This window comes from Homo sapiens, chromosome 1 (assembly GCF_000001405.40).
Source record: "Homo sapiens chromosome 1, GRCh38.p14 Primary Assembly".
Lineage (NCBI taxonomy): Eukaryota > Metazoa > Chordata > Mammalia > Primates > Hominidae > Homo > Homo sapiens.
The window spans coordinates 153897344-153911045 of NC_000001.11; the positions used below are offsets into that span (position 1 = coordinate 153897344).

Sequence of the window (13702 nt, forward strand, 5' to 3'; positions counted from 1 at the left end):
CTGTTTTTTAAAAATAAGAAGAAAAGATGAAAAGTACTCAAATCATCTGATTTTGGCTTTTCTGTTTCTTCTAATACGATGAGAACAGAATGATCTTATGCAAGATTGGGATATGTGAACAAAAGAGAGTTACCTCAAATAGGATTACTTGACTTTTGGTGCTAACTATCTCAGACTACCCAATGTGGGTGCAAGAGAAAGATGAGTGCTTCTCAGGAAAATAACTGATAAGAGACTAAGTACATATTTTCTACAAAAAGTCAAAACTACATTATATTGCTCTAAAGTGTAAGTTTCTGCTTAAGAAAAATTTCTTCTATAGGGACCCAGAATTTATGTCTTCTAAAAATATCAACTATATTGTAATGGATTCAGATCACCACTCCTGCTATATAGGTTAAGGTCTCAAAGCTAGACAGTTGGCCAATATATTTAAAAAAATTTTTTTAAAGAATTGCTGAAAACGATGCACTTCCTCAGTAACTATATATGTTTCTATATTCAAATATTTCGTTCCCTGGGCCTGGCACGGTGGCTCACACCTGTAATCCCGATGCTTTGGAAGACCTCGACGAACGGATGGCTTGAAGCTAGGAGTTCTAGACTGGCTCAAGCAACATAATGAGACCCTGTCTCAAAAAACAAACAGAAAAAAAAAAACAAAAAAAAAAAAACCCAGGCCAGGCACGGTGGCTAAAGCCTATAATTCTAGCACTCTGGGAGGCTGAGGCAGGCCAATCGCTTCAGTCCAGGAGTCTGAGATCAGCCTATGCAACACGGTAAAACCCCATCTCTACAAAAAGTACAAAAAAATTAGCCAGGTATAACAACACATGCCTGTAGTCCCAGCTACTAGAGAGGCTAAGGAGAGAGAGGATTGCTAGAACCCAAAGTTCAAGCCTGTAGTGAGCTATGACTGCACCACTGCATTTCGGCCTGGGCAACAGAGTAACAGCCTGTCTCAAAAAAAAAAAAAAAAAGAAAAAAAGAAAAAAGAAAAACAAAAACAAAAAGAAAAGAAAAAAGAAATTATAATAAACTACAAAAATACCAATCCCAAATCATATAGCTCTGGCAGGTATTTAAAAGATTCCAATCTTGGCTGGGCACAGTGGCTCACGCCTGTAATCCCAGCACTTCGGGAGGCCAAGGTGGGAAGATTGCTTGAGACCAGAAGTTGGAGACCAGCCTGGCCAATACAGTGAAACCCCATCTCTACTAAACATACAAAAAAAAAATTAGCCAGGTGTGCCAGTGCACGCCTGTAGTCCCAGCTACTCAGGAGGCTGAGGCACCAACAAAGATAACCTTCCTACTCTGACCCTATTCTGAGCAAGTGAAAGCCTCCCAGTAAGTTCTAAATTCATTGAACAAAACCTAAATCTATTGAATAAAATAATCACCTTCACTGTAAAAGCAGAAAAATGAGATGAGGAGAAAGACAAGTGACCTATTAGAGCAAGAAAATCAGTCAGCAAAGTAATCTAACTTTTATTAGGAATTTGCCCTTACCTGCCTTAACATCTCCATTCCCTGAAAACAGTATGACCCTGCTGATGTAGCTGTGTTTGGCTCTCTGCCTCTGCCAATTAGAAGCTCAACTAGGAACCGTACATGCTCCTTACTCCTGAAGTTGCCCCTGATTTTAAAAGATTGTGAGGACAAGAAATCAGATTATCAAAACTTTTACACTTAGACTAAAAGTTGAGACATTTGAGGAACATTTCAAAGAAGACAATTTTTATCTTAAAATGTATACTCCAGCTGGGTGCGATGGTGCACACACCTGTAATTCCAGCTACTTGGGGAACTGAGGCTAGAGGACTGCTTGACCCAGAAGTTCGAAGCTGCAGTGACCATGCCTGTGAATAGCCACTGCATTCCAGCCTGGGCAACATGGCGAGATCTTGTCTCTTAAAATAAAAATTTTAAAAAGCCTCCTTTGCCAGGCACACTGGTTCACACCTGTAATCCCAGCACTTTGGGAGGCCAAGGTGGGCGGATCACCTGAGGTCAGGAGCTCGAGACCAGCGTGGCCAACATAGTGAAACCCCATTTCTACTAAAAATACAAAATAGCCACGCGTGGTTGCACATGCCTGTAATCCCAGCAACTTGGGAGGCTGAGGCAGGAAAATTGCTTGAACCCAGGATGTGGAGGTTGCAGTGAGCCCAAGATCGCGCCATTGCACTCCAGCCTGGGTAACGACGACGAAACTCCATCTTAAAAAGAAAAAAAAAAAAAGCCTCCTTCTTCTCTTTCCAATAATTGGGCTGTAGTCACATGCCTGACAATCAAAATCCAAAGACAACTGTTTTTTTTGAAAGGAAATGCTAATAAGGTATATAAGTGTTCCCAAAGGCACTTGAAGACAGACAGTTCTCATTGCTGGCCAGCCACACTACTTCTCTCAAGTTTACATTTCAATTGAGTTGTTTCAGAAACTCTTATAGCCTGTTGGTGCGGTTGTAAACTGGTACAAATTTTTGGAGAATAACTTAAAGTCTAACAAAATTGTAAAGGGGCATACCATTTGGTTCATTAATTACACTTCTAGAACTTTTACCTACAAATATACTTAAATGTGTAAAGATCTATGTAAGATGTTTCACTGGAAGGCTGGTTATCATAGCACACGTATACACAAATTGCAAACACCCTAACTGTTCCTCAGAAGTGGACAGATTAGGTAAATTAAGGTATATCCATACAATGAAATATTATACAGTCACTAAAACAATGAGCTGCAAATGTCATATATATATTCTATTAAAAATTTCTTTTTTTTTACTGGGCGCAGTGAGTGGCTCATGCCTGTAATCCCAGCACTTTGGGAGGCCGAGGCAGGCGGATCACGAGGTCAGGAATTCGAGACAAATCTGGCCAATATGGTGAAACCCCATCTCTACTTAAAAAAATACAAAAATTAGCTGGACGTGGTGGCACGCACCTGTAATCCCAGCTACTCAGGAGGCTTGAGGCAGGAGAATCACTTGAACCAGGGAGGCGGAGGTTACAGTGAGCCGAGATCATGCCATTGCACTCCAGCCTGGGCAATAGAGACTCCGTCTCAAAAAAAAAAGAAAAGAAAAGAATAGCTTGAGTATCCAGTAATATGACCATTAATCTGGGACCAGAATTCACCTACATCACAGACTGGCAAGCTTATTTTCTTTTTCTTTATTTTTTTGAGACAGGGTCTTGCTCTGTCACCCAGGCTAGAGTACAGTGGTGAGATCACAGCTCACTGCAGCCTCAACCTCTTGGGTTCAATCAACCCTTCCACCTTAGCCTCTCCCAAGTAGTTGCAACTACAGGCGTGTGCCATCAAGCCAGGCCCAGCAAGCCTTTTCTTTAGCCAGATAGTAAATATTTTAGGTTTTGGAGGCCTTAACATCTTTGTTGTGACTAGTAACTCTGACATTGTAGCAGCATGAAAACAACCAAAGACAATATGAAAAAAAATGAGCATAGTTATTTCCAATAAAACTTTACTTATAAACACTGAAATCTGAATTTCATGTAATTTTCACATGTCACAAAATAATCTCTTGATTTTTTTTCAATCATTTAAAAATCATAAAAACTGGCCAGGCGTGGTGGTTTACACCTGTAATCCCAGAACTTTGGGAGGCCAAGGTGGGTGGATCACTTGAGGTCACGAGTTCGAGACCAGCCTGGCCAACCTGGCAAAACCCCATCTCTACTAAAAATACAAAAATTAGCCAGGTGTGGTGGCCTGTGCCTGTAATCCAAGCTACTCAGGAGGCTGAGGCAGAAGAATCCCTTGAACCCGGAAGGCAGAGGTTGCAGTAAGCCGCCATAGTGCCACTGAACTCCAGCCTGGGCAACAGAGCAAAATTCTACCTCAAAAAAAAAAAAAAATTTATATGTTTGTATGTTAAGGCTGAGGCACAAGAATCGTTGGAACCCAGGTGGAGAGGTTGCAGTGAGCCAAGATCATGCCACTGCACTTCAGCCTGGGTGACAAAGCAAGGCTCTGTCTCTAAATAAATAAATAAAACTATCACATCTCCAAGGCAAAATGAGAATCAGGAACTTTAATAACGAGAGTGATGCGTAGAGGGGAAGTGCATTAGAGTTAAATTTATTCAAGATGAGACTTCACTGGACAACACCATTTTGATACTTCCATGAAAGTTAACTAGCTGATTGATTTTTCTTTGGTTAAAATGTCCAACTGCGCCCGATGGCTCACACCTGTAATCCCAGCACTTTGAGAGGCCGAGGCAGGTGGATCATCTGAGGTCAGGAATTTGAGACCAGCCTGGCTAACATGGTGAAACCCATCTCTACTAAAAATACAAAAATTAGCCAGGCATGGTGGCGTGTACCTGTAATCCCAGCTATTTGAGAGACTGAGGCAGGAGAATCACTTGAACCCAGGAGGTGGAGGCTGCAGTGAGCCACGATCGTGCCACTGCACTCCAGCCTGGGAGACAGAGCAAAACTCTTGCTAAAAATAAATAAATAAATAAATAAATAAATAAATTAAATAAAATGGCCCTGGTGTCTACAGCCATACCACCCTGAACGTGCCCGGTCCTGTCTAAAATGGCCTTGGGGCAACAGGGATAATCAGGAGGAGAGCAGGGGCCAATCAGACTCCGTCTCAAAAAAAAAAAAAAAAAAAAGGCCGCGCACAGTGGTTCACACCTGTAATCCCAGCACTTTGGGAGGCTGAGGCAGGCGGATCACCTGAGGTCAGGAGTTCGAGACCAGCCTGACCAACATGGAGAAACCCCATCTCTACTAAACATACAAAATTAGCTGGGCATGGTGGCACATGCCTGCAATCTCAGCTACTCAGCAAGGCTGAGGCAGGAGAATCACTTGAACCCAGGAGGCGGAGGTTGCGGTGAGCCAAGATTGCGCCACTGCGCTCCAGCCTGGGCAACAAGAGCGAAACTCCATCTCAAAAAAAAGAAAAAAAGAAAAAAAAAAGAATTTTCAGGATTTGGTAAGCCTATCATACTTACAGCCAAGGTGTAAAAAGTGCTGAATGAGGGTATAATTCCTACTTAAGGGGTACTTGTTCCTAATATGCAAGTTACTTAATTTACAAACATATTATACCTAGTATTATAATTATTGTATTCCTTTTTTTGAGACAGGGTCTCACTCTTGTCACCCAGGCTCGAGTGAAGTGGCTCAAACATGCCTCAATGCAGCCTCAACCTCCCGGGCTCAAGGGATTCTCTTACCTCAGCCTCCTGTGTAGCTGGGACCACAGGCACATACCACCATACCCTGCTAAGTTTTCTTATATTTTTTGTAAATGGGGTCTCACTTTGTTGCCCACTCTGGTCTCGAACTCCTGGGCTCAAGCAGTCCTCCCACCTCAGCCTCCCAAAGTGTTAGGATTACATGTGTGAGCCACCAAGCCCAGCTGCAGTCTTTTAATACATGTAGTCTTTAGTCTACTGACTGCATCTTCTTGTAATTTATCTTTATATCCTCTAACGTACCTATGTTTATATCTTTTACATACTACTTTACATAGTAGGCATACAAGAAATGTTATGTGGAGGCCTTTGCAGTTTCCCACAACCAGCAGATTTAAGTGGTTACAGCCGGCCGCGGTGGCTCACGCCTATAATCCCAGGACTTGGGGAGGCCGAGGCAGAGGGATCACAAGGTCAGGAGATTGAGACCATCCTGGCTAACACGGTGAAACCTGATCTCTACTAAAAATACAAAAAAATTAGCCGGGCGTGGTGGCGGGCGCCTGTGGTCCCAGCTACTCGGGAGGCTGAGGCAGGAGAATGGAGTGAAACCAGGAGGCGGAGCTTGCAGTGAACCGAGATCGCTCCACTGCACTCCAGCCTGGGCGACAGAGCGAGACTCCATCTCAAAAAAAAAAAAAAGTGGTTACAAAGTAAGCAGCTCTGACAAGCAGGACAAGAGACCAGACCCAAGTTTTCTCTCTATCAGAACAATTAACTATCATTTTTCGAGACAATAGGCCTAAGACAGAGAAAAGCATCTGGAATCTTCACTCCAGAAATTGGAAAAATAAACTCATATCATTGCTCAGAGCCCTGGATTTTCTGCCATAGTTTGAGATTCAGGATTACAGATGAAATTATAAAATAAGACTTCATGAACTAGGCAATCAGCATTCCTAAACTAAGTTTAAATACTTTAAAGTACTTTTGAGTACTAGTAGTACTCAAATTGTTCAATGTTAACAAAATAATAGCGATGAAAATCATTAAATAGCAGAATTGTAAGCAACAGGAAAAGTACAGAATTTCTGTTAACAGGACATATTACAATATACCTAAATACTCTTTACCATATGCCTAAATATTCTTTCCCAATAAAGTTCTAACATTGGCCAAGTGTGGGGCTCACACCTGTAATCCCAGCACTTCGAGAGGCTGAGGCGGGCAGACAGCTTGAGCCTAGGAGTTGAAAATCAGCATGGGCAATATGGCAAATCCCCTCTCTACAAAAAATACAAAAAATTAGCTAGGTATGGTGGCACGCACATGTGGTCCCAGCTACTTGAGAGGTTAAAGTGGTACAATCACCTGAGTTCGGGAAGTGAAGGCTGCAGTGAGCCGTGACTGCACCACTGCACTCCAGCGTTGGCAACAGCATGAGACCTTGTCTTAAAAATAAATAGATATGCCAGGCCCGGTGGCTCACGCCTGTAATCCCAGCACTTCGGGAAGGTAAGGCGGGTGGATCACGAGGTCAGGAGTTCGAGACCAGTCTGGCCAACATGAAGAAACCTCAGTCTCTACTAAAAATACAAATATTAGCCGGGCGTGGTGGCAGGCATCTGTAATCCCAGCTACTTGGAAGGCTGACGCAGGAAAATCATTTGAAACTGGAAGACAGAGGGTTCAGTGAGCCAAGATTACGCCACTACACTCCAGCCTGGGTGAAACACTGAAACTCCATCTCAAATAAATAAATAAATAAATAAATAAATAAATAAATAAATATTAGCTTGTATATGTATAAAGAAACTCTAATATGATAGAAATGGAAAAACAGTGATGGGGTTTAAAACTAGGAAGTTAAAAGACAGTGACAAGAAAGTTTTCACTCTATATCTTAATTTTTTAAAATGTGAAAACAAACTTTAAAACAAGAAGAAAGTGCTCCAACCATAACAAAATGATTCATTTATAAGAGCAAAGATGTATGGAGCAACATAATTTTTCTTTTTGTTTTTCTTTGAGAGACAGAGTCTCGCTCTGTCACTCAGGCTGGAGTAGAGTGGCATGACCTCATCTCACTGCAACCTCCACCTCATGGGTTCAAGCAATTCTCCTGTTTCAGTTTCCCAAGAAGCTGGGACTATAGGCGTGTGCCACCAGGCCCAGCTAATTTTTTTTTTTTTCTCAGACAGAGTCTCTTGCTCTGTCACCCAGGCTGGAGTGCAGTGGCACATCTCGGCTCACTGCAATCTCCGCCTCCCTGCTTCAAGCAATTCTCCTGCCTCAGCCTCCCGAGCAGGTGGGATTACAGGCGCCTGCCACCACATCTGGCTAATTTTTCTATTTTTAGTAGAGACGGGGTTTCATCATATTGGTCAGGCTGGTCTCGAACTCCTGACCTCAGGTGATCTGCCTGCCTTGGCCTCCCGAAGTGCTGGGATTACATGCATGAGCCACCGCCCTGGCCCTAATTTTTGTCTTCTTTAGTAGAGACGGGGTTTCACTATATGTTGGCCAGGCTGGTCTCGAACTCCTGACCTCAGGTGATCTGCCTGCCACAGCTTCCCAAAGTGCTGGGGTTACAGGCATGAGCCACTGCACCTGGCCAAGAGCAACACAATACATAAAGAAAAATACCCAGCCTGACCAATATGGTGAAACTCCGTCTCTAATAAAAATACAAACAATTAGCCGGGCGTGGTGGCAGGCGCCCTGTAGTCTCAGCTACTTGGGAGGCTGAGACAGGGAGAATCTCTTGGACCCGGGAGGTGGAGGTTGCAGTGAGCAGAGATCACGCCACCGCACTCCAGCCTGGGTGACAGAGCCTGACTCGGTCTCAAAAAAAATAAGAAAAATACAGTGATTCAAGGGCCTAGGTGAAATAAAAACTATCTATAACTGAGCAGAATCCCATTCAGATTTTTAGCCCAAAGTAAAAAACTATGTGAAAAGAAAAACCCATCCTAAAATTCATATGGCATCTCAAGGAAGCCCAAACAGCCAAAACAATTTTGGAAAAAAAAAAAAAAAAAAAAAAGAACAAAGTCAGACGACTCATTCTTCCTGATTCCAAAACTTACTACGTAACTACAGTAATCAAAACAGTGTGGTAGCCCGGCATAGTGGCACCTGCCTGTAATCCCAGCTACTCGGGAGGCTGAAGCAGGAAAACTGCTTGAGCCCAGGAGTTTGAAACCATGCCTGGGCAACATAGCAAGAACCAGTCTCTCAAACAAAAAAAAAAAAAGCCGGGTGCAGTGGCTCACGCCTGTAATCCCAGCACTTTGGGAGGCCGAGGTGGGCAGATCACCTGAGGTCAAGAGTTCGAGACCAGCCTGGCCAACATGGTGAAACCCTACCTCTACTAAAAATACAAAAATTAGCTGGGTGTGGTGGCATACATCTGTAATCTCAGCTACTAGGGAGGCTGAGACAGGAGAATCGCTTGAAACTGGGAGTCGGAGGTTGCACTGGGCCGAGATCACGCCACTGCACTCCAGCCTGGTGACAGAGGGAGGTTCCCTCTCAAAAAAAAAAAAAAAAGCTCCCCTCCCCCGCACCCCACACACACACACACAAAACAGTGTGGGGCCAGGCGTGGTGGCTCATACCTGTAGTCTCAGCACTTGGAGAGCCAGAGGCTCTCTTGATCTCACTTGATTTGAGGTCAGGAGTTCGAGACCAGCCTGGCCAATATGGTGAAACCCCATCTCTACTAAAAAATACAAAAATTAGCCAGGTGTGGTGGCGTGTGCCTGTAGTTCCAGCCACTCGGGAGGCTGAAGCAGGAGAATCACTTGAATCTGGGAGGCAGAGGTTGCAGTGAACCAAGATTGTGCCACTGCACTCCAGCCTGGGCGACAGAGCCAGACTCTGTCTTAACAACAAAAAATTAACACAAAATATTGTTCTTTTACAAGTTGCTGTAACACATTTACAGCAATACAAAAATGATACAATACAAAAAGTAAATTTAAAAAAATGAGAAAAAACACAAAATAAATGAAAGACTAAACAGAAGAGCTAACACTCTTAGATGCTTCATGATGTTGGACTTGACAATGATTTATTAGACACCAAAAGCACAGGCAAAAAAGGAAAAAAAAACAACAGATAAACTGGACTTCATCAAAATTAAATTTTTTGTGCATCAAAGGACACTACAGAGTGAAAGGGCAACCCACTGAATGAGAATCATATATGTGGATAATGGATTAAAATCCAGAATATACAAAGAACTCCTACAACTTAGAAACAAAAACAACAACAAAAACCCAATTAAAAACTAAGCAAAGGATCTGAATAGACATGTCTCCAAAGGAAATATACGAATAGCCAATAAGCACCTGAAAAGATGATCAACATCACTAATCTTAGGGAATTACAAATCAAAACCACAATGAGACAGCACCTCACATCCACTAGAATTCCTATTCAAAAACAAACAAACAAAAAATAATAACAAGTGTTGGCAGGGACGTGGAGGGACTGGAACCTTTGTGCATTGCTGACAGAAATGTAAATGATACAGTTACTGTGGAAAACTGTAACAATTACTCAAAAACCGAATTATCATGAATTATCATGATCTAACAATTTCAATTCTGGATATATATCCTATACGCAAAACAATCGAAAGCAGGGACTCAAGCAGATATCTGCCCAGTCATGTTCACAGCAGCCTTGTTTGCAACAGCCGAAGGCGGAAACAATCCAGATATCCACCAACCGATGAATGGATAAACAAAATGAGATATTTACATACAAAGGAATATTATTCAGCCTTAAAAAATGAAATTCTGATACATGCTACAACATGGATAAATCATGAAGATATTTTCAGTGTAATAAGCCAGACACAAAAGGACAAATGTGGTATGATTCCATTTATATGAAGTACCTGAAGTAGTCAAATTTATAGAAACAAAGTAGAATGGTGACTGCCAGGAACTGCGGAGAGGGGAGAATGGGAGTTATAGTTCAATATATACAAAGTTTCAGTTTGGGAAGATGAAGAAGTTCTGGAGATTAATGCTGGTGTTGGTTACACAACATCAATGTATTTAATGCCACTAAACTGTATACTTTAAAAGGGTAAATTTTTTTTTTTTTTTTTTTGAGATGGAGTCTCGCTCTGTCACCCAGGTTGGGATGCAGTGGCGTGAGCTCGGCTCACTGCAACCTCTGCCTCCCAGGTACAAGCAATTCTCCTGTCTCAGCCTCCTGAGTAGCTGGGACTACAAATGCCTGCCACCACACCCAGCTAATTTTTTTTGTGTTGTTTGAGATGGAGTTTTGCTCTGTCACCCAGGCTGGAGTGCAGTGGCATGATCTCGGCTCATTGCAACCTCCGCCTCCTGGGTTCAAGCGATTCTTCTGCCTCAGCCTCCTGAGTAGCTGGGATTACAGGCATGCGCCACCACGTTCAGCTAATTTTTGTATTTTTAGTAGAGACTGGGTTTCACCATGTTGCTAAGACTGATCTTGAACTCCTGACCTCATGATCTGCCTGCCTTGGCCTCCCAAAGTGCTGGGACTACAGGCGTGAGCCATCACGCCCAGCCTAAGATGGTAAATTTTATGTTATGTACATTTTAACACAAACACACACTCACGCACGCACACATCTATGTGCCAGGTTTACCATTATCTTTTTTACAAGAATGACTAACAGGCTGGGTACCATGGCTCATGCCTGTAATCTCACCACTTTGGGAGGCTAAGGTGGGAGGACTGCTTGAGCCTAGGAGTTTGAGACTAGCCTGGGCAACACAGCAAGACCCCATCGCTATAAAATTTTAAAAAATGAAAAGTAAAACATAACTAACATTTACTGGACATTTACAATCTGTCAGGCACAGAGAAGTTAAGTAAAAGATCTTACAACTAACTAAACGGTGGAGCAGAAATTTGAACCCAGGACTTTTTGACACCAGAAACATACTTTTTTTTTTTTTGAGACGGAGTTTCGCTCGTTGCCCAGGCTGGAATCCAATGTCGCAATCTTGCAACCTCCGCCTCCCGGGTTCCAGCGATTCTCCTGCCTCAGCCTTCCCAGTAGCTGGGATTAGAAGCATGTGCCACCACGCCCAGCTAATTTTATGCTTTTAGTAGAAACAGGGATTCTCCATATTGATCAGGCTGGTCTTGAACTCCTGACCTCAGGTGATCCGCCCGCCTGGCCCTCCCAAAGTGCTGGGATTACAGGTGTGAGCCACCGCACCTGGCCTAGAAACATACTTGGAAAAAAAAAAAAAAAAAAAAGAAAGAAAGAAAGAAACAAGGTTGTGTTTTATCCCCAAGGCTGGAACACAGTGGTGCAATCCTAGGTCACTGCAGCCTCTAACTCCTAAGCTCAAGCAATTCTCCTGCCTCAGCCTCCCAAAGTGCTCTGGAACACGGATTACATCTCAGCACTTTAGGAGGCCGAGGTAGGAGGACTGCTTGAGCCCAAGAGTTCGAGACCTGCCTGGACAACACAGCGAGATTCCCATCCCCACAAAATTTATTTTAAAAATTAGCTGGGTATGGTGGCATGTGCCTGTGGTCTCAGCTACTTGGGAGACTAAGGCGCAAGAATCACTTGAGCCCAGGAAGTGAGGGCTGTAGTGAGCCATGATCACACAACTGCATTCCAGCCTGGGCAAGAGAGCAAAATCTTGTCTCATTAAAAATAATTTTTTTTTCTTTTTTGACACGGAGTCTTGCTCTGTCGCCCAGGCTGGAGTACAGTGGCGCAATCTGGGCTCACTGCAACCTCCGCCTCCTGGGTTCACGCCATTCTCCTGCCTCAGCCTCCCGAGTAGCTGGGACTACAGGCGCCCACCACCATGACGACTAATTTTTTGTATTTTTAGTAGAGATGGGGTTTCACTGTGGTCTCGATCTCCTGACCTCATGATCCACCCGCCTTGGCCTCCTAAAGTGCTGGGATTACAGGCGTGAGCCACCATGCCCGGCCACATTAAAAATAATTTTTAAGGCCAGGCACGATGGCTCATGCCTGTAATCACAGCACTTTGGGAAGCCACGGCAGGCAGATCACAAGTCAAAAGATCAAGACCATCCTGGCCAACATGGTGAAACCTGTCTCTATTAAAAATACAAAATTTGGCCAGGCGTGGTAGCTCAAGCCTATAATCCCAGCACTTTGGGAGACTGAGGGGGCGGGGGGGCAGATCACAAGGTCAGGAGTTCGAGACCAGCCTGGCCAACATGGTGAAACCCCACCTTTACTAAAAATACAAAAAAAAAAAAAAATTAGCTGGGTGTGGTGGCACACACCTGTAATCCCAGTTACTTGGGAGGCTGAGGCAGGAGAATCGCCTGAACCTGGGAGGCAGAGGTTGCAGTCAGCCGAGATGATGCCACTGCACTCCAGCCTGGGCAACAGAGCAAGACTCCATCTCAAAAAAAAAAAAAAAAAATTAGCTGGGCATGGTGGCGCATGCCTGTAGTTCCAGCCACTCAGGAGGCTGAGGCAGGCGAATTGCTTGAACCTAAGAGGCAGAGGTTGCAGTGAGCCAAGAATGCGCCACTGTACTCCAGCCTGGCAACAGAGTGAGACTCCGTCTCAAAATAATAATAATAATAATAATTTTTTAAAAAGTAATGTTATATGTATAGATATGTAAGCTTTCTAAAATACTGCCTAAAAATAAACAAGGAATTCATGGTGAATTGGTAAGCTACTAGTGATTTTCACACACAGATTAGAAGACCACTTGCCAAGCATGTACATTCCCCAACTTACAATGGCTCAACTTAAAATTTTTCGACTTTACGATGGTGTGAAGGTGATACACATTCAGTAGAAACTGTACTTCAAGTACACATACAACCATTCTGGTTTACACCTTTGGTATAATATTCAATAAATTACATAAGATATCCAACACTTTATTACAAAATAGGCTTTGGGCTGGGCGCAGTGGCTCATCCCTATAATCCCAGCACTTTGGGAGGCCAAGGTGGGTGGATCACCTGAGGTCAGGAGTTCAAGACCAGCCTGGCCGACATGGTGAATCCCCATTTCTACTAAAAATACAAAAATTAGCCAGACGTGGTGGCGAGCACCTGTAATTCCAGCTACTCAGGAGGCTGAGGCAGAAGAATCACTTGAACCCAGGAGGCAGAGGTTGCAGTGAGCCAAGACTGCGCCACTGTGCTCTAGCCTGGGTGACAGAGCAAGACTCTGTGTCAAAATAAATAAATAAATACAATAAATAAATAAATAAAATAGGCTTTATATTAAATAATTTTGTCCAACTGTAAGCTAATGTAAGCATTTCGAACACATTTAAGGTAAGCTAGGCTAAGCTATGACGTTTAGTAGGTTAGCTGTATTAAATGCATTTCTGACTTAGGCTATTTTCAACTTACAATAAGTTTACAGGGACATAACCTCATCGTAAATCAAAGAGCATCTGTATATAGTACAATAAAAGGTGTTCCCTACAGGTGAGAAGGTAGAGAAATATATCTCTAAAATATTTCGGTTCACAGAA

The 13702-nt window shown here is 43.2% G+C and overlaps 1 protein-coding gene across 3 annotated transcripts in view, besides 1 other annotated feature; it reads right to left on the reverse strand.

Annotated features, from left to right (window-relative positions):
* Positions 1–13702, reverse strand: part of GATAD2B (GATA zinc finger domain containing 2B) — a 118248-nt gene that overhangs the window by 92619 nt on the left and 11927 nt on the right. The window contains exon 1 of one of the 3 annotated variants that reach the window (XM_047426117.1): positions 1513–1905. The exons of the other annotated variants lie outside the window; for them this stretch is intronic. The gene's annotated coding sequence lies outside the window, so the exon portion shown is untranslated. Of the gene's footprint in view, positions 1–1512; positions 1906–13702 lie in introns of those variants that run through there. 3 annotated transcript variants of the gene reach the window in all.
* Positions 7330–7831: an enhancer, noted in NCBI's record as "H3K4me1 hESC enhancer chr1:153877149-153877650 (GRCh37/hg19 assembly coordinates)". NCBI's record gives its function as "activates a minimal SCP1, AML or CMV promoter by ChIP-STARR-seq in primed H9 embryonic stem cells {active_cell/tissue: H9 hESC(primed)}" and the evidence as "EXISTENCE:reporter gene assay evidence [ECO:0000049][PMID:30033119]".